The sequence below is a fragment of the Homo sapiens genome, chromosome 10, assembly GCF_000001405.40.
Source record: "Homo sapiens chromosome 10, GRCh38.p14 Primary Assembly".
In the NCBI taxonomy this organism is placed as follows: domain Eukaryota; kingdom Metazoa; phylum Chordata; class Mammalia; order Primates; family Hominidae; genus Homo; species Homo sapiens.
The window spans coordinates 28,510,911-28,532,368 of NC_000010.11; the positions used below are offsets into that span (position 1 = coordinate 28,510,911).

General features: G+C 41.0%; 1 long non-coding RNA gene across 1 annotated transcript; it reads right to left on the reverse strand.

Annotated features, from left to right (window-relative positions):
• Nucleotides 1-9,006: 9,006 nt before the first annotated feature.
• Nucleotides 9,007-21,444, reverse strand: WAC-AS1 (WAC antisense RNA 1). Its single transcript, NR_033805.1, has 3 exons — nt 20,825-21,444; nt 15,038-15,098; nt 9,007-13,701 (listed from the first exon to the last, which is right to left on the reverse strand). It is a non-coding gene; the product is annotated as a WAC antisense RNA 1 (long non-coding RNA).

Sequence of the window (21,458 nt, forward strand, 5' to 3'; positions counted from 1 at the left end):
ATACATGGTGAACAAAATGCATCCAGAATGCATTTTTTTTTTTTTTTGAGAAGTAGTCTCACTCTATCGCCCAGGCTAGAGTGCAGTTGTACAATCTCAGCTCACTGCAACCTCCGCCTCCTGGGTTCAAGCGATTCTCCTGCCTCAGCCTCCCAAGTAGGTGGGACTGCAGGCACACACCACCACGCCTAGCTAATTTTTGTATTTTTAGTAGAGATGGGGTCTCACCATGTTGGCCAGGCTGTTCTTGAACTCCTGATCCGCCTGCCTCGGCCCCCCCAAAGTACTGGGATTACAGGCGTGAGCCACCGTGCCTGGCCCTAAAGATAACTGTATATTGGCTAACACGGGAGAAACGATTATCTATTAACCCTGTCTGATCCATTAAATTTGCCTCCCTAAGCAAGACAGTGTTTGAATCAACAGCAGACTCTATTCTTTTATGTGAGAAAAGAAAAAGGCACTAAGAAATAAGCTTCCTGAGTCTAATGCAATATTCTCAAACAATCGTGTGTATTGAAATCAGTTGGTGGGCTTATTAAAACAATTTGCATTTCTAACAAGTTCTCAGGTGAAGTTGATGGTGTTAGCCCAGCAACTACATATTGAGAACCGTCTTCTAATGTAATAACTTTGGGAGAGAAAGCCCAGTAGCTTTGCTAGGAGATTGATGCAGGAAGTGATGATAGAGAGAACATTATTAGTAAGAGCTCTGATCACAGTAAGAATTATTTTGTTTGGCATTATATTCCTTTAAAGCTATGAATTCTTCTCTGGGCTTAGGTTTGATTCACTTCCCATACATATTCATATGAAGTGTTCCAGTTTTCCAATTTGTATACAACTTGTAATCTCAAATTTGACTTCTGCTATAATCCAGTAATTATTTTGTAGTGTTTTTAAAGAATTGGGAAGTTTTTAAATTCATTTTTATTTATTCTACAAATATCTATGAAGTATCAACTATGAGCCATGTGCTTGGAATATATCACAGAGCGAAAGAGATTCTGATTTTTATCCTTATGAAGCCTCCATTAGGGGGCAGGAGCTAGACAATAAACATAATACATAAATTATACAGCATGCTAGAAGGTCCTGTTTCAAAATAAAATAAAATAAAAATAAAAATCAAGGTGCTGTGTTGCGAAGGGGAGCAAAGAAACAGGACAGTAACTGGCAAGAAAAGTAGTATCGAGATTTTTTCGGTTTGTTTAAAGATGGGAGAAATAACAGAATGCTTGAATGCTAGTGGAAGTAATCTTGAATGAGGGCAAACACTGGTTAATGTAGAAGAGAGAAGGAAGAATTGCTGTGTTACTATCAAGTAGGTGTGAGAGAATGTGATCTAGTACAGGAATCAGTAAAATTTTTTTGGAAAGAGCCAGTAAATATTTTAGGCTTTGTGGATCACACATGGTCTCTGCTGTATATACTTTTTTCTCCCCAACACTTAAAATTGTAAAAAACTAGCCGGGCGCAGTGGCTCATGCCTGCAATCCCAGCACTTTGGGAGCCTGAGGTGGGTGGATCACAAGGTCAGGAGTTCAAGACTAGCCTGGCCAACATAGTGAAACCCCATCTCTACTAAAAAATACAAAGATTAGCCAGGCCTGGTGGCGGGTGCCTCTAGTCCCAGCTACTTGGGAGGCTGAGGCAGAAGAATCGCTTGAACCCGGGAGGTGGAGGTTGCAGTGAGCCAAGATTGTGCCACTGCACTCCAGCCTGGGTAACAGAGTAAGACTGTCTCAAAAAAAAAAAAAAAAAAAAAAAAGTAAAAACTATTCTTGGCTTACGGGCTGTACAAAAACAAAACAAAATGCAGGATTTGGGCCACAGGCTGCATTTTGTCAACCCTGATCTAGTACACAAGCAGAGGCTGATTTTAGATGAGAGCATGGACATCATGCATATATGTATGGTAACAGGCTGGAAAGAAAATTATATGAGTTCACAAGCTGCTAGAAGGATAGATTTAGTGGCAGGGGATCTCTTCTGATTGCTCTGATTTTCTCCAGGAAATAGGAACAAGAGTTATCATCGAGGGTAAGACTGGGAATAGAGTGTTGGATATTCGAGAAGAGACAATTACATAAAATCATTACATAAAATCATTTCAGGAAAAGGGGGTGCTATGCTCTGAATGTTTGTGTCCCTTCAAAATTCGTATGTTGAAATCCTAACCCACAAGGTGATGGTATTGGAAGGCCTAATCACGTTTGGAGGGTGATTAGGTTATGGGGGGTGGTCCTCATGATTGAGATTAGTGTCCTTATAAAAGAGGCTCAAGAAAGGACCCCTCTTTCCTTCCACCATATCTTCTCACAGTGAGAAGTCACCATCCATGAACCACAAAGCTGGACTTCAACAGACACTAAATCTGCTGGTGCCTTGATCATGAATTTCCCAGCCTCCAGAACCAGAAGGAAGACAATCTGTTGTTTACAAGCTACCTACTTTATGATATTTTATTGTAGCAGCCCAAGCTGACTACAAGTGAATAAACTTGGAGAAAATATAATTTGATTGACTGGCAGCATTTTGAGGTCACATGAGGTTTGTCTTCAAGAATTTAAAGTGAAACTCTTGCATTTTTCTTCCAGTCATGTTCAGCTACATGGGAGCAAGAATGGAGTAGATAAGTAATGATTAGGGTTACGGTTTTGTCAGTGGGTAAAAGGAATATCCAATCAATGACTGGCTATGGAATTTAAGCCAAGTGAGGAGGAAAATAAGGGTGAGGGGCAGTGAAACAGTGATAGAATCAATAGATTAGAATTACCAACAAAGATAAATAATTATGAGGAGCTAGGGATCTAGAGGGGAAAGCTGGAAAGACAGGATGTGGCAGCCAGAAAGGTGGATGCATGAAGTTGAGATAATTGAGTTTGCAGTTAATGGTAATAAGCAGATCTAACTAGGGAATGACCAAAGGAGTGGCTGAAGTGGAATGAAAAGAGGTGTCCAAGAAGCTGGAGGTCAAGATATTGGAAAGATCATTGATGTGCATATTAAAATCACCAAGAATTAAGGCAGGAGTGTTGGAGAGACTGATAGTAAACCAACAGTTAAAATCATCAAGAAACAAAAACAACCTTTGTTGACTTTAGGTTTTATTGCACTATCATCTGAAAAGCAGCTCTTAAGATTTCTACTTTTCATGATTCACTAAGGTTTTCTAGGTGATCAATCTTATGATTAATATTTGGAAATATTCCTTGGGCATAATAAGAGAAGAATATAAATTCCCTACCTGTAAGATACAAATTTATATTTATAAATATTTTTATTAGGTTGTTGTCAGTGAATATGGGAGGTTAGTTAAGAGGCCATTGTATAGACAAAAGATGGTTGCTTGAATAAGGCTGGTGGTAGCAGATGAAATGAACTGGATGGAGTGAGAGTTATTTAGGAAGTCAAATCAATAGGACCTCATGATCAACTTGATAAAGCATGTAAAGGAGAGAAGTGACAAAGATGACTTCTAGGTCTCTAGAAAAAGTTAGAGGATGGTATAGCAATGGCATTAAGAACATAGGCTCTGAAAAGTCAGGCTGCCTTTGTTGAGGGCTAGCCTTTCCTTAAAAGGTGTGTGATTTCAATAAGTTATTTTACCTTTCAACTTTCTCACTGCAAATGGAAAATAGTATTATCTGAGGTTCTTGTGAGGATTAAGTAAATTAATGGATTAACACTTTAGTCCAAACATACAGCAAACTCTCAATGACTGGAAGCTATCTTTAGTGAGACAGAAAGCATTCACAGATAATCAAATTTAGGAGAAAAGGTAATGAACTCAGTTTTATATTTCAAAGTTGCATTTGAAGCTATGTGTGGAGGTGGTAGGTAAGTAAACAGCAGGATATTCACATCTGGAACTCAAAAAAAAGATGTGGGTTGGAGATACAAACTGCCTCTAGTGAAGCATCTGTGTATAGATGGTAACTACACACAAAAGTCAGGGGAGTGGAAGAATTCATGGAAAGAAATTAGTGAAGAGAGGGACTGCTATGGATTGTGTCCCCCAAAGTTCTTGTGTTGGAAAATTAATCTTCAATGCAACAGTGTCGGGAGGTAGGGCCTAATTAGAGAATAGGTCATGATGGCTCTGTCCTCATGAATAGCTTGTTATCATGGGAGTGGGTTCATTATAATGGAATGGGCTTGTAACAAAAGCACCTTTTCTTGCTCTCTCTCTCATCATGTGATGCCTTCCACCGTTACGATGCAGTAAGAAGGCCCTCACTAGATGTGGCCCCTTCATCTAGGACTTCTCAACTGCCAGAAATGTGGGCCAATATAGTTCCTTTTTTTTTTTTTTAGACAAGAATCTCTTGCTCTGTTGCCCAGGCTGGAGTGCAATGGCGTGATCGCAGCTCACTGCAACCCCCACCTCCCGGGTTTAAGCAATTCTCCTGCCTCAGCCTCCCAAGTAGCTGGGATTACAGGCATGTGCTACCACGCCCAGCTAGTTTTTGTTATTTTTAGTAGAGACGGGGTTTCACCATGTTGGCTAGGCTGGTCTTAATTCCTGACCTCGTGATCTGCCCACCTCGGCCTCCCAAAGTGCTGGGATTACAGACGTGAGCCACAGTGCCCGGCCAACGTTTGTTCTTTATAAAGTTTCGGGTATTCTGTTAGAGCAGCACAAAATGGACTAAGAGAGGGGCTACTTTTAAAAAATTATTATTGAGGTATTATTGGGGTAAAATTCACATGACATAAAACTCACCATTTTAACCATTTTACTGTACAATTCAGTGCCTTCCAGTACATTCACAATGTTTGCAAGTATCACCACTACCTAAATCTGAATATTTTCATCACTCAAAAAAGAAACCCATTAAGCAGCAACTCCCCACTTCTACATTTCCCTAACCCCTAGCATCCACCAATGTTTTCTGTCTCTATGGATGTGCCTCTTCTAGATGTTTCACATAAATACAATCATGTAAGATGTGGCCTTTTCTTTCAGTTAGCAAGGTCTTTCAAGGTTGATCCATGTTGCAACATATACTAGTACCTAATTTCTTTTTATGGCTGAGTAGTTTTTCATTATATGAATATACCACAATTTGTCCATTCATCTATTGATGAACATTTGGGTTGTTTCTACTTATTGGCTATTATAGTGCTGCTATACACACTCATGCAGAAGTTTTTGTTTGATTAGTTTTCTATCCTCTTGAGTATATATTTAGGAGAGCTGCTGGGTTATATGTTAATTCCGTTTAAAATTTTGATAAACCATCAAACTATTTTATAATGAACGCACCATTTTATATTTCCGCCAGCAATTTATGAGCTTTCCAATTTCTCCACATCCTTGCCAACACTTGTCTTTTAATAATAGCACCCTAGTGAGTATAGAAAGTGGTATCTCATCGTGGTTTTGATTTGCATTTCCCTTAAGGTGGAAGGTTATGATGCAAAGCATCTCTTCATGTACTTGGCCATTAGAATATCTCCCTTGGAGAAATGTCTATTCAAGTCCTTTGCCCATTTTTAACTTGGGTCGTCTTTTAACTGATGACTTGTAAGAGTTATTTGAGCTTTACCAGGTATACGACTTGCAAATATTTTCTCTCACTCAGTGGGTTCTCTTTTCTCTTTCTTGATAGTGTCATTTGATATGTAAAGTTTTAAATTTTGATCAAGCCCAGTTGTATCTATTTTTCATGTTGCTACTTGAGTTCTTGGTATCATATCTAAGAATCCACTGGGAAATCCCAGGTCATGTAGACTTACCCCAATATTTTCTTTTAATAGTTGTATAGTTTCATTCTTATATTTAGGTATTTGATTTATTTTGACTTAATGTTTGCATGTGGTGTAAGGTAAGGGTCCAAATCCATTCTATTACATGTGGATACCCAGTATCCTCAGCATTTCTTAAAAATACTATTCTATTCCCCAGTGATCTATCTTGACACCTTTGTCAAAAATCAATTGACCACAGATGTATAGGCTTACTTCTGGGCTCTCAATTCTGTTTTCTTGGCCTACATATCTATCCTTATGTCAGTACCACACTCTTTTGATTACTGTAGCTTCGTGGTAAATTTTGAAATCACAAAATGTGGGTCTTCTAACTTTGTTCTTTTCCAAGACTGTTTTGGCATCCTTGCAATTTCTTTTTTTCATTTTCTTTTTTCTTTCGAGATGGAGTCTAGCTCTCTCACCCAGTCTGGAGTGCAGTGGCGCGATCTCGGCTCATTGCAAACTCTGCCTCCTGGGTTCATGCCATTCTTCTGCCTCAGCCTCCCCAGTAGCTGGGACTACAGGCGCCCACCACCTGCCCGGCTACACTTTTTTTTTTTTTATTTTTAGTAGAGACGGGGTTTAACCGTGTTACCCAGAATGGTATCTATCTCCTGACCTCGTGATCCGCCCGCCTCAGCCTCCCAAAGTGCTGGAATTACAGACGTTGAACCACCGCGCCTGGCCACATCCTTGCAATTTCTTATGAATTTTAGGATCAACCTGCCCATTTCTACATTAATGGCAGTTGGAATTTTCATAGGAATTTCACTGATTCTGTTGGTTAATTGGGGGAGTATTGCCATTTTCAAAGTCTTCTAATACGTGAACATAAAATGCCTATTTATTTAGGTCTTTTTAAATTTCTCTCAACTATGTTTTGTAGTTCTCAGTGTGTAAGTCTTACATCTTGTTTATTAGTATTTTATTCTTTTTGATACTACTGTAAATGAGTTTTCTTCATTTCACTTTGAAATGTTCATTGCAAGGATACAGAAATATAACTAATTTTTGTATGTTGATCCTGGGCATCCTGTGATATTGAGGTATTAGCTCTAACAGTTTTGTTTGTGGATATCCTTGTAATGTGCTTCAGGATTCACTTTGGCTGAGGATCTTTGCATCTATATTCATTAGAACTATTGGACTGTAGTTTTATTTTCTTGTGATGTCTTTGTCTGGATTTGGTACCAGGGTAACGCCGGCATCATATAATGAGTTAAGATATTCCCTCTTCCCCTACTTTAAGTGTTTGAGAAGGACTGGCACTCTTAAAATACTTTACGTCACCAGTAAAGCCACATGGTTTGATCTTTCCTATCTTGGAAGTTTTTTGTTTTTAACTGGTTTACTTTTTTTTTTTTTAACTAGTACTGTTATAGGTTTAGTTTTTTCTTGAGTTAGTTTTGGTAGTTTGTGTGCTGCTAGGAATTTGTCCATTTTATCTAGGTTATCTAATTTGTTAGCATATAATTGTTAATAGTATTTCCTTACAATCCTTTTTATTTCTGTAAGATTGGCAGTAATGTCCCCACTTTATTCCTGATTTTAGTAACCTGAATCTTTTTGTCTTGCTCAGTCTTTTTAAGGGTTTGTGAACATTATTATTTCAAACAACCAAATTTTGGTTTTGTGGATTCTATTTTCTACTGTATATTTCATTTATCTCTACTCCAGTCTTTACTATTTCCTTCCTTCTGCTAGCTTTGGGTTTGATTTCCTCTTCTTTTTCTAGTTCCTGAAGGTGGAAGGTTAGGTTGCTGATTCTAGGTATTTTTTAATGTAGGCATGTGCAGCTATAAAATTGCCTTTGAGCACTGCTTTTGCTGCATTCCAAACGTTTTAGGGTGCTGCATTTTTGTTTTTATTCATCTCAAAGTATTTTCTGATTTCTCTTGTGATTTAATCTTTCTTTGATCCATTGGTTGTTTAAGGGTGTGTTATTTTCAGTTTTATTCCATTGTAGTCAGAGAAGGCACTTTGTAATTCAATCTTTTAAAACTGAGACTTGTGGACTAACATGTTTTATTCTGAAGAATGTTCCATGTGAACCTGAGATATCTTGGAATGTCTTTTTCCACTTGCTATGGTTTGAATGTGTGCCCTCCAAAATTCAGATATTTAAACTTAATGGCCAACATGATGGTATTAAGAGGTGGGACTTTTAAGAGGTGGTTAAGTCTTTTTTTTTTTTTTTTTTTTGAGGCGGAGTCTTGCTCTGTCGCCCAGGCTGGAGTGCAGTGGCGCAATCTCGGCTTACTGCAAGCTCCGCCTCCCAGGTTCACGCCATTCTCCCATCTCAGCCTCCCAAGTAGCTGGGACTACAGGCGCCCGCCAGCACGGCCGGCTAATCTTGTTTTTGTATTTTTAGTAAAGACCGCGTTTCACCGTGTCTCTACTAGGACCAGGATGGTCTCTATCTCCTGACCTTGTGATCCACCCGCCTCGGCCTTCCAAAGTGCTGGGATTACAGGCGTGAGCCACTGCGCCCAGCCAGTAAGAGGTGGTTAAGTCTTGAGGGCTCCTCCCCTCATGAATGAGATTAGGTGCCCTTAACTTAGGGCCTGATGAGGAATTTCATTCCTTTTTGCCCTTTTACCTTCTGCCACGTTGAGGATGTAACATTCCTCCCCTATAGAAGATGCAGCAATAAGGTGTCATCTTGGAAGCAGAAAGCAGCTCTTACCAGACAACCAAACCTGCCAATGTCGTAATTTTGAGTTTCTCAGATTCCAAAACTGTGAGAAAATAAATTTCTGCTCTATATAAATTACCCAGTCTCAGGTATTCTGTTACGGCAGCACAAGAAAACTAAGGTGCTGGCCGGGCGCGGTGGCTCAGCCTGTAACCCCAGCACTTTGGGAGGCCGAGGCGGGCAGATCACCTGAGGTTGGGAGTTCAAGACCAGCCTGGCCAACATGGAGAAACCCCATCTCTACTAAAAAATACAAAATTAGCTGGGCGTGGTGGCGCATGCCTGTAATCCCAGCTACTCAGGAGGCTGAGGCAGGAGAATTGCTTGGACCCAGGAGGCGGAGGTTGTGGTGAGCCAAGCACGCCATTGCATTCCAGCCTGGGCAAAAAGAGTGAAACTCCATCTCAAAAAAAAAAAAAAAGAAAGAAAACTAAGGTGACACCCTTTCACTTTCAACATGTTTGTGTCTTTGGTTCTAAAGTCAGTCTTCTGTAAACAGGATATAGTTAGAACATTTAAAAGACTCCATTCTGCCAATCTCTCCATCTGTTAAATGGAATTTAAGGCATTCACATTTAATGTAATTAGTAGGAAGGACATTGCCCCTTGCTATTTGTTTTCCCTATGTCTTCCTCAATTCCTCCCTTATGCCTTTTTTGTATTAGATATTTTCTAGCATACCATTTTTATTCCCTTTCCAAAATTTTTAGTTATTTTCTTAGTAGTTGCTCTAGGGATTACAATTAACTTTCATTTATAACAATCTATTTCAAATAAATACCAACTTAGTTTCAATAGTACACAAAATTTTTGCTCCTATACTTCATCTTTTCCTCATCATGAATCACCTTTATACATTGTGCTTTGACACAGATATAATTATTGCTTTCATTTATATCTACCTATGTATTTAAATCTTTTTCAGTGTTTTTTATTTCCTCATGTGGATCTGAATCACTGTCTAGTGTCTTTTCATTTCAGGCTGAAGGATCCTTTTAGTATTTCTTGTAAGGCAGGACTACTAGTGAGATACTCTTTCTGTTTTTGCTTATCTGTGAATGTCTTAATTTCTCCTTCACTTTTTTTTTTTTTTTTTGAAGGATAGTTTTGCTGGACACAGAATTCTTGACAGTTTTTTCTTTCAGCACTTCGAATATATCATCCCACTGCCTCTGCCTCCTGGCCTCTGTGGTTTCTAATGAGAAGTCAGCTATTAATCTTATTGAGAATCCTTTGTACGTGAGGAATTGCTTCTCTCTTGCTGCTTGCAGGATTGTCATTGACTTTTGACGGTTTAATTATGATGTGTCTTGGTGTGGGTCTTTTTTTTTTTTGTAACATCTTTTATTTGTATACAATTATAAATTACAAACTTGTTTTATTAGGATTTTTTTTTAAATTTAGTTTTAGTCAACTTACTCCCTTTTATTTACCAGCAGTGTGCTCTGACAGAATAAATTACAAACTATTGTTTTGTTTAATCCTTTTAACCATCATGTCAGGCACACAGGTTGGAGAATATTAGCTCCCATTTTATGGACAGAGTGGAAACACTCTACCCATATTTAGTGTAAGACAGAGCTGGGATATAAGCCTTGGGCTTCCACAGTCACAACTGCTTTTTTGCAAAACTTTGTAATACATCATTTTAAAGTAATCTGATTTCACAATGTTTTACAGTATATGAGTAACATCTATAGCATCTCTTCTTGGCAGGTTACCTCTGGAGAGAACCAATCTAATTACCTCATACGCTGGCACTTTTTTTTTTTTTTGAGACAGAGTTTTGCTTTTGTTGCCCAAGCTGGAATGCAATGGCGTGATCTCGGCTCACTGCAACCTCCGCCTCCCTGGGTTCAAGCAATTCTCTTGCCTCAGCCTCCCAAGTAGCTGGGATTACAGGCATGCACCACCACACCCGGCCAATTTTGCATTTTTAGTAGGGACAGAATTTCTCCACGTTGGTCAGGCCGGTCCCGAACTCCTGACCTCAGGTGATCCGCCTGCCCCAGCCTCCCGAAGTGCTGGGACTACAGGCGTGAGCCACCGCGCCCAGCCTAAGCTGGCACGTTTTAAGGCAGTTACATCTCTAACTTGATTTACCAGCTATGCTTGAGGGTCCAAGGAGCCAAAATTGCAGCCAAACTGATCTTAAAGGACCAGGGAATAGAATGGTCAAGCATGTTTCCAAGTTTAACCTAGGCCTGGCACATCCTTGCCAATTGCTCAGATGGCAAGTGAGGGGCAACTAAGTGAAGAGAATAGCAGGAAGACCCACTCGGGGTGGACACTGATGAAAAACACAAGCAGTATCAGACTCACTGTTTTCAGGATTAAAATCCCCAGATGCCCTGTTATTGATCTATGTCACTACCAGTAGGACAAAAGGCAATGCTTCTGAAGACTAGAATATGCAAGGAAAAAATTAAGGTGCCTGCCTGTCTGGGGCCTACCGAGCCAAACAGTGCTAATTTCATCCATGCCAAACAAAATTGTTCATTCCTTGCTGATTTGGGTTTTAAGGAAGTGTGCTGATCATCAGAGAAACCAGGCAATTCTATTCTGAAGCCCAGGGGAAGAAATGGTGGGGATTTCTGAGTTATAGATGGTGCAGGGGTTAACAGTATCTGCCACTATGAAGGGAAAAATCTATCTTGGTAAACTTTGGTCTTCCATAGGACATGGAACCAGAGTAGCAAGATCAGGGCCTGCGTGACCGATCCTGATTGAGCAGGACTTCCTCACATAAGGTACACAAGGGCTGGGCGCAGTTGCCCACGCGTGTAATCCCAGCACCCCGGGAGGCCCAGGCTTGCGGATCACCTGAGGTCAGGAGCCCAAGACCAGCCCGGCCAACATGGTGAAACTCTGTCTCCATCTCCACTAAAAATACAAAAATGAGCCGGGCATGGTGGCACATGCATGCAATCCCAGCCGATCAAGGGGCTGAGGCAGAACCACCTGAACCCAGGAGGCGGAGGCTGCAATGAGCTGAGACCATGCCACTGCACTCCAGCCTGGGCAACAGGGTGAGACTGTCTCAAAGAGAAAAACAAAACCCATAAGATGCACAGGTATCTGAGAAAGGTCTAAACACCCTAGAACTGCAAGCAAAATTTTGAGTGTATACATGTTTTCCTGGCGAAGGGGTCCTCATTCTCAAATCCTGAGCTTTTAGGAAAAAGTACTAAGCCAGTTTCAGGTTACGATACAAAAGCCACCAGATACACTTAGAGCCAGTCAAGTTTGAGAATTCTCAAAGCCATCACTGAAAAGTTGGAACACATACTCACAGCAGAGACAAGTGAACATTTATTTTTATGCCTTTCTTCCTATGTGTATTTCAAGTCTTTTTCAAAACAAGGCCCCAGGACTCTCCAGATTCAATTATGTCCTTGGGCTTGGTCGACTGCTGCAGGAGTCTCAGGGAGCCTTCTACAAATGCTAGAGTGACTCATTTACCAACATTAAACCCTAGGATACATGCAACAAAGCAGGACTCCTTCCTCCATGGAATGTGCCGATTTCAGATGACGCAGCACCGAATGTAGAAAACGCTGGGAATTTTTTCCTTGGAACTAGACTGTGATGAGAGGTGCTTGACATGAACATAAGCTACTGTCTTTTCTTTTTTTTTGAGACAGAGTTTCGCTTGTTGCCCAGGCTGGAGTGCAATGGCGTGATCTCAGCTCACCGCAACCTCCACCTCCCAGGTCCAAGCGATTCTCCTGCCTCAGCCTCCTGAGCAGCTGGGATCACAGGCACGCACCACCACGCCCGGCCAATCCTTGCATCTTTAGTAGAGATGGCATTTCTCCACGTTGGTCAGGCTGGCCTCGAACTCCCAACCTCAGGTGATCTGCCCACCTCAGCCTCCCAAAGTGTTGGGATTACAGGCATGAGCCACCATGACCGGCCAGCTACTGTCTTTTCTTTGACCCTTCCTTTCCAGTTTTTGAAGATAAAGCAGGAAATAATCTTCTCTGAAGATACTTGATAAAAATTCCCAAAACAACAAAACACATGCTTCCACTTCACTGATAAAAAATTTACCGCAGTTTGGCACCTAAGAGTATGACAACAGCAACAAAAAGTAATTTCAAAGAGTTAAGATTTCTTCAGCAAAATAGATGATTCACATCTTCAAGTCCTTTTTGAAATCAGTTAATATTATTCTTTCCCCATTTCCATCTGAATGACTGCAGCAATAGTTTTTTTTTTTTTTTTTTTTTTTTTTCGAGATGGAATCTCGCTCTGTCGCCCAGCTGGAGTGCACTGGCGCAATCCCGGCTCACCGCAATCTCTGCCTCCTGGGTTCAAGCGATTTTCCTGCCTTAGCCTCTCGAGTAGCTGGGACCACAGGCACGTGCCACCACACCCAGCTCACTTTTGCATTCCGGTGTGGGTCTTTTTGAGTTTACCCTATTTAGGGTTCTTTGAGCCTCTTGAATATCTAGATTCATGTATTTCATCAAAGCTGGGACATTTTCTACCATTATTTCTTCAAATATTATGTCCCTTTCTCTCTTTCTTCTCCTTCTGGGACTCCCCTCATGCATATACTGGTATGCTTGATAGAGTCCCAGAGGTCTTTTATGCTCTGTTCATTTTTCTTCATTCTTTTTCCTTTCTGCTCCTCAGACTGTATAATCTTAATTGACCTATCTTGAAGCCTGTTGATTCTTTCTTCTGACTTCTCCAGTCTGCTGCTGAATACCTCTAGTGAATTTTCAGTTTTAGTTATAATACTTTTCAACTCCAGAATTTCTATTTGGTTCTTTTCTACAATTTCAATCTCTTTATTGATATTCTGTATTGGATGAGACATTGCTTTCCTAATTTTTTTGTTCTCTGTCCATGGTTTCCTTTAGCTCTTCTAGCATATCTAAAAGAGTTGATGAAAAGTCTTTGTTTTGTACATCCGAAGTCTGTGCTTCTTCAGGGGTAGTTTCTATTAATTTCTTTTTTTACCTGTGTATGGGCCATACTTTTCTGGTTTTTCCTTGTCATGTAATCTTTGCTAAAAATGTGACATTTTGAATAGTATTATAATGTGGTAACTCTGGAAATCAGATTCTCCTCCCTCCCCATAGTTCATTGTTGGTACTTGTTATGGTTACCACTGTTTGGTAACTTTTCTGAACTTTATAAAGTCTGTATTCGTTGCTGTGTGTGACCAGCTGAGCTCCTGTTCTGTTAGCTTAATTTGCAGCTAGTGATCCAAAAGAGAAACAGATTTCCTTAAATGCCTGAAACCAAGACAAAAAGAAAACACTCTCAGTCTTTACCAGTAGGCTCTGTGTAAGTGTTGGGGCACACCTTCAACATTCAGCTAAGCAACAAATTCACCTTAGTTTTCACTTCCTATTTGAGCAAGCCTGATGGTTAGCCAGAGGTGAGAGTTTAAGGCTTTCTCAAGTCTTCTCTATTTGCTCACCCTGCATGTACATGTGGCCTTTTGGATTCCCAAGAATATGTGGAAGTTTTAAAAGCCTTTATTCTCCAAAATATCTTACTTTCCAGCTTTTCCTCCCAGGCTTTTTGGTGTGTCTATTGTTTGCCTTAGCTATTATTCTTTGCCCCCGATGGCAGAGGCTAATAAACTTGCCTTTACAAATTTTTGACAAATGCCTGTAGTCACCTTTCTTCCTCAGGAGATTTCCAAGTTAGGGGAACTAAAATAAGCCTCCATAATTCTTTGAAAAGAAGGTCCACGGCCAGGCACAGTGGCTCATGCCTGTAATCCCAGCACTTTGGGAGGCTGAGGTGGGCGGATCACCTGAGGTCAGGAGTTCGAGACCAGCCTAGCCAACATGGCAAAATCCCGTCTCAACTAAAAATACAAAAATTGGTCAGGCATGGTGGCAAGTGCCTGTAATCCCAGCTACTCGGGAGGTTGAGGCAGGAGAATCGCTTGAAGCCGGGAGGCGGAGGTTGCTGTGAGCCGAGATTGCGCCACTGCACTCCAGCCTGGGCAACACGGGCAAAACTCCATCTCAAAAAAAAAAAAGAAAGAAGAAAAGAAAACAAGGCCATCCTGCTCCCTTTGGCACCAGGAACAGATATCAGAAATGCATGTCGTTGTTTTCAAAGCTGGACAGGGAGGTGGCACCAGGGTAAGTTTAAATGATAGAAAGCGCTCCTGAGATTCAGGATTCAGACTTTTTTTTTTTTTTTTTTTTGAGACAGAGTCTCACTCTATCACCCAGGCTGGAGTGAGGTGGCACGATCTTGGCTCACTGCAACCTCCATCTTCCAGGTTCAAGCGATTCTCCTGCCTCAGCCTCCCTGAGGGATTACAGGTGCCCGCAAACACACCCAGCTAATTTTTTTGCTGGTCTCTAACTCCTGACTCAAATGCTCTGCTCGCCTTGGCCTCTCAAAGTGCTGGGATTACAGGTATAAGCCACAGCATCCAGCCTCAGCCATCTTTTTAAAAAGATGTTTCCTTGGTTACTATAAACCTTTGACTAATTTCCAGAATTTATATAAAATTGATTCTGACAATTTGTGCCAATGTATTCACTGGTTTTGTGGAGAAATGCGCTCTTGGAGTTTCCTACTCATCATTTTCAATGACATCACCTCCAAAGGACTGATTCTTGAAGAACTTCAACATTTGGTAGTGGAGTAGACAAGGACGACTCTGTGAAAAGTAATGAGAGGAGCAGTCAGAGAAGGAAGAAGAAAATACAAAATGTGTTGTGCCATAGAAGGCGAGAGAGAAGGGCAACGCAAAGGGAGGCACTATCAATGTCAAATATTCTGAGATTAAGAAAGAGTGAAAAAAATGTTCATTAAACATAGGTGCAAAGAAGTTGTTTGTGACCTGTGACCTTAACACTATTTCTAAATGAGACAACATTGGTATTTTGAGCAGGACAAGTCTTAAATATAAAGAACTGTCCTACGCATTGCTACATGTTTAGCATCTTTGACTTCTGGTAACTAAATATCTGTAGCACCCTTCACCCTTAAGTCATACTGAAAATATAGCAGTGATAAAAAAAAAAAATACTGCCACACATTTCCAAATGCCCCCTGGAGACTCAGCACTGCCTCTTTAAGAACTACTGCCTCAGGGAAATCTATTTTGCTAATATTACGGGGGCAGATGTCAAACAATAGTGACCTAAAATGTCAATACGAGAGTAAAGAATGAAACAAGTGAGGTACCACAAATAAGACTTAGCAGATGTTTGGCTGAAGTGAGCAGTTAAGAGTATACGGTCAAGAAAGGGTTTTCTGGTGGTAGGATTTATTATGTTTAAAGATCAGTGGAAATAATCCAGATGAAAGAGAGTTTGAATATACAAAGGAAGGGATAATTGATAATATAAGGTGAACTGAAGGGGGGGTGGCAAGAAAGGACAGATAGAGAAAATGGCCTTAGATGAGAAGCTTACTTTCCGCTTTGAAACAGTAACCTGAAGCACTTAGGCAATGCTGTAGGATCCTAACTGGTTTCCCTGCTCCTTGCCTTGCAATACAGATATTTTCAACACAGTAGCCATGTCATTTTCTGCTCATAACTTTTCAATGGCTTCCCAATTAACTCAGAATAAAAGCCAATCTTCTTATAATGGCCTATAAGATTCTTCACAGTCTGTTCCTCCACCCACTTCTTTAACCTCACCTCATTTCCTAATATTTTCCCTCTCAGTCACTGCCCTTCAATCACAGAGCTTTCCTTATTATTTCTGAACACATTAGGCAGTCTTTCCTCAGGACCTTTGCTCTTGCTGTCCCCTTTGCCAGAAACATTCCTTTCCAGACACCTGTATAGCTTGCTACCTCATCACCTTCAAATCTTTGCTCAAACGCCATGTGCTCAATAACCACTCTACTTGAAAACATTACTCCTCCATCCAACACTTTACCTACTGTTCTCTGTAGCACTTATTACTTTCTAAATTACTATGTCATTTGATTTTGGTGATGATGAGGCTTAAGTGGAATCAGTATATTCTATTATTTTATAATCTTCAGCAGCATGCAACTGCTCAGAGGTGCTCAGAAAATGAATGGTTGGATTAACTCAGGTTGAAGTTTCGCCAGACACAGGTAAAGGGTTTAGGGTATGCTTCTCAATATTAGCTGAACTTTAGTATCTATTACTTGGAAGAACTTTAAAAAATGGCCAATCTTGAGTCAGTAAGTAATTCTCCCAAGATCTGTTGATTGCATTATTTACATCATCCCTGCCTAGTACCATATGTTGATATGGTGACGTCCTGGTGTTTACTCCCCTTTCCTAGATAGTAATTTTTGTTGCAGTTTCTTATTTTTCGTCATAATTGAATGAAAGCTTCATATCACAAATCTGAGATCCCAAAGCATCTCCTTTTAGTTATGTATTATTCTTAAAATACAAACTCCATAAGAGCAAAACCCAAGTGACTTTGCTTAACACTATGTTCCTAAGACTTGATACGCAGAACTTCAATACTATTTTTTCAAAATGAATAACCACCAGTAGCGAAACATGTATGTGCCAGGTACTGCTAAATTATTTACACAATTTCAATTACTTTTCACAAACAGTACTATACCCTATTAAGTGAAGTTTAGAGACAAAGCAGGATAATCCTCAAGACTAGTAATTTGCCCAAGGTGATGTTGGTAGTCAATAATGTAGCCTGAGCTCTACGCAATGTCATACTGATTCTAAAACCCACGCTTTTAATCACTATACTAGGCTGAGTTTGTGAGGAAGGCAAGGACAGAGAAAAAAGAGATAGAAATGAAGTATGTGAAAATTTTTGGAAATATATCCTTATGATGTTTTAGAAATTGCAACAAAGCTTTTTAAAGTCCCTTTTGGCCAGGCGTGGTGGTTCACGCCTGTAATCCCAGCACTTTGGGAGGCGGAGGTGGCAGGTCACAAGGTCAAGAGATCGAGACCATCCTGGCCAACATGGTGAAACCCCATCTACTAAAAACACAAAGATTAGCTGGGTGTGGTGGCACGCACCCATAGTCCCAGCTACTTGGGAGGCTGAGGCAGGAGAATCGCTTGAACCCGGGAGGTGGAGGCTGCAGGGAGCTGAGATCACACCACTGCACTCCAGCCTGGCTATAGAGTCAGACTCTGTCTCAAAAAAAAAAAAAAAATCCCTTTCACAACTAGAGGCTTGAGGATTTCACTTTTTGGTTCTTCCTTCAGTTCTTCCTTCAATAGAATCACATTAAAATCTTGGTCAACCTATATATAACCTATGAGTTGATAGTTTTTCCCCTCTATTGGTTGGTATGTATTCAGTCTACAGGTTGAAATATGGGTCTTTTACTCATTTGCAAACTTGATATTTCTCATTAGATAGCAGTGTAAATAATCTGCTTTAAGATTTGCTATACATGCAAATTCATGTACATTTTTTAATATCTATTACAATATTTTGCCTGTATTAGGAATAATCTAGCTTTATCCTCCATCTTATTTGTGAGAACAGGACTGGATTTGTAATTCTTTTATTCTTTCACAAAGCAAACAGAAATAGAACCCAAGCTTTTTCCTCTTGAGAATTCAATTTTGCTATTTTTATCGTATACGTTTCTGCAGGCAAATATCCTTTAATTCAACAAATATTTATGGTATGCCACATGAAGCATTCATTCTAGTGGGAAACAACCAATAAACAAAATATATGGCAAATGGTTTAGGAAAAATAGATCAGGGTTAAGGGAGCAACATGGTGGTAGGGCGCCATCATGTAGAGTTCTCAATTAAACAAGACAAGACTTAAGCAGAGACCTGAAGAAGTGAGGGTGTGAGCCAAGCAAGTACTAAGGGGGAAGAGGATTCCAGGCAAAGGGACAGCAGTGCAAAGGTCCTGAGGCAGAGGCATGCTTGGTATACTGGAGAAAACAGGGAGGGAGGGTAGAATGGTGGGAAAAGAATGAGAAAGCAGGGCTGAGCGCGGTGGCTCACGCCTGTAATCCCAGCACTTTGGGAGGCTGAGGTGGGTGGATCACGAGGTCAAGAGATGGAGACCATCCTGGCCAACATGGTGAAACCCCGTCTCTACTAAAAATACAAAAATTAGCTGGGTGTGGTGGCACGTGCCTGTAGTCCCAGCTACTCAGGAGGCTGAGGCAGGAGCATTGCTTGAACCTGGGAGGCAGAGGTTGCAGTGAGCCAAGATCATCCCACTGCACTCCAGCCTGGCGACAGTGAGAATCAGTCTCAAACAAAAACAAAAACAAAAACAAAAAAAGAGCAAATAAAGAAGTCAGTGGATAAGAAGCCAGAAGTAACAGGCAGTTTACATATGGCCTAGTGGATCATGGCTATAACTTTGGCTTTTATTCAAGATTGGAATATTATCTGACTTTTTAAGGGATTACTGCACTGTATGAGACAGCAAACAATGTGGAAGCAGGCATAGAAGGGCAAGATCAGTTAGAAAGCCTTTGCCACGGTCCAGGTTTAATGATGGTGGCTTGGACCAGAGTGAACTTGCTGGAGGTGGGTTACAGAGATCAGATTGTGGATACATTTTGAAGGTAATGCTGGCAAAATTTGTTGATGGAGTCAATGTGAGATATAAAACAATCAAAGATGACTCCAAAGTTTTTAGCCTCCACTAGAAGAATGGAGTTGTCATTTCAAGAGATTGGGAAGATCTCAGCAGGACTTGTTTGGGGTGGGGGGAGATTAAGAGTTTCGTTTTGAATACATTAAGTTTGTGATGCCTGTTAGAAACTCAAGCAGTGCTATACAGTAGGCAGTTAAGTGTGAGTCTTGTGTTCAGAGGAAAGGTGTGGACTGGAAATTCAAATGTGGGTTTCATCCAGCCAGAGATCTGAATGAGATTGCCTAGGGAGAGAGAACAGAGGAGTGCGGGTTGTAAGATTTGAATCTCACGCCACTCCAGCATTTAGAGGCTGGAAAAGAAGGAGAAACCAGTAAGGAGTCTAAGGAACAGCCATTTGGGAAGGAAGAGAAGCAAGAAAGAAAATGAAATCCTGGTAGGCAAGATAAGGAACTTTAAGGAGAAGAAAGTTATCAGCTGTGTCAAATGCTGCTGACAAGTGGAGATGAAGACTGAGAAATAAAAATCAGACTTGAAAACATGGATGCTACAGATGATCTTGAACAGGTCCAGAAGTGTGGGAATGAAGTCTGTGGGTTCGAGAGAGAAGTAAAGATAAAGTATTTCTGTAAAGGAGAGCAGATCAGACTTTTGATAATGTGGTTTTATTTAGAGACAGTGTCTCACTGTCACCCAGACTGGAGTGCAGTGGCAAGATCTTGGCTCACCACAACCTCCGCCTCCCAGGCCCAAGTGATTCTCCTGCCTCAGTCTCCCGAATAACTGGGATTACAGGCGCACACCACCACACCTGGCTAACTTTTATATTTTTAGTACAGATGGGGTTTCAAAATGTTGGCCAGGCTAGTCTCAAACTCCAGACCTCAAAATGATCCACCTGACTTGGCCTCCCAAGGTGCTGGGATTACAGGCATGACCCACTGCATCCGGCCTATTTACTTTTTGAGACAGGGTCTCCCTCTGTCGTCCAGGCTGGAGTGCACTGGTGTGATCATGACTCACTGCAGTCTCGAACTCCTGGACTAAAGTGATTGTTCAGCTTCAGCCTCTGGGAGTAGCTAGGAATACAGGCATGCATCACCATGCCTGGCTACTTTTGAGCAAATGGTTTATACCAATTTCAGCAGACATCTAGTTATCAAACAAATTAGTAGTAATTTTGCTGCCAGTTTTCAAAGTTTCTATGAAATGTTATTTGTTGTACTCCTCTGATGTTTGTCTTCAATGGATTCACTACAAATATGTCAGAAATTACATGTTAAGATGCTACCGAATTTTTTTGTTTTCATAATTTCAGTCACTGTCAATTTTTTTTTTTAGTTACTGGTAGTTTAAGAGAGCATTAAATAGGCTTTTTATTGGTCTGCACATCTCCACAAACAGCAATAAGCTCTACATCTGGCAGATGGATGTGACAAATAAGATTATGTAATTAAAATTTTTTTTCCAACCAGTTGTGATTTCAGAGCCTTTCTCCCTACATCATTCCATCTCTCCATTCTATTAGGTCTAGCAATAACGTAACTTCTTGGATACCAAGTAAATCAGTTACTTTTTATTTTTTGGAGGGGGTTGTTTCTTCTGACTTGTTTACTATTTGCCTCTTCTGTGTTAATCACCTAATTATGTTTACCACAATTCTTTTCATTAAACTATGTTGCCTTACAAATAGTGCAAAAAAAAAAAAAAAAGTCAACCAATCACCCGAATACCACCACTCTCAACTAACGGTTGTTTGGTATACTTCACGTTTCTTCTCTCAATGTACCTGCAGCAGTACATAAAATCAAATTTGTAGCAATTTCACTTAACACACCTGAGAACTTTCACATGAATTTTCTTTCACCAATGGACTTCAGCGAGGAAGAAACAGAGGAGGGAAAAGTGAGAGATAAAGAGAGGGTGGGCAGGGCACCGCTGGGTATGGAAAACGTTAGAAAGGGATGGAAAACGTTAGAAAGGGGTGAAAAGCCGAGCGCAGTGGCTCACGCCTGTAATCCCAGCACTTTGGGAGGCCGAGGCGGGAGGATCGCTTCAGGCCAGGGGTTCGAGACCAGCCTGGGTAACACAGCGAGACCCTATCTCCGGAAAAACTTTTTTTAAAAAATTAGCCGGGTGTGGTGGTGCATGCCCGTGGTGCCAGCTACTTAGAGGGCTGAGGTGGGATGACCCGTAAGCCCCGGAGGTCGAGGCTGCAGTGAGCCGTGATCGCGTCACTGCACTCAGACTGGACGACAGCGCGAGACCTGTCTCAAAAAAAAATAACAAGGGGTAGGGTGGGGCAGTGAGATGGTTCAGCGTTGTTCCCAAGGAACTCATCTCCCTAAATTTCCAGTCTCAAGCGCCGCTTTCATTCCCTGCCCCGAGCGGCGCTCCCCGCTCCGTGCACGCATCTCCGCTGAGGGCCGCCCTGACGCACGGCCTTCTGCCTTGAACACAGAACCCCTCAG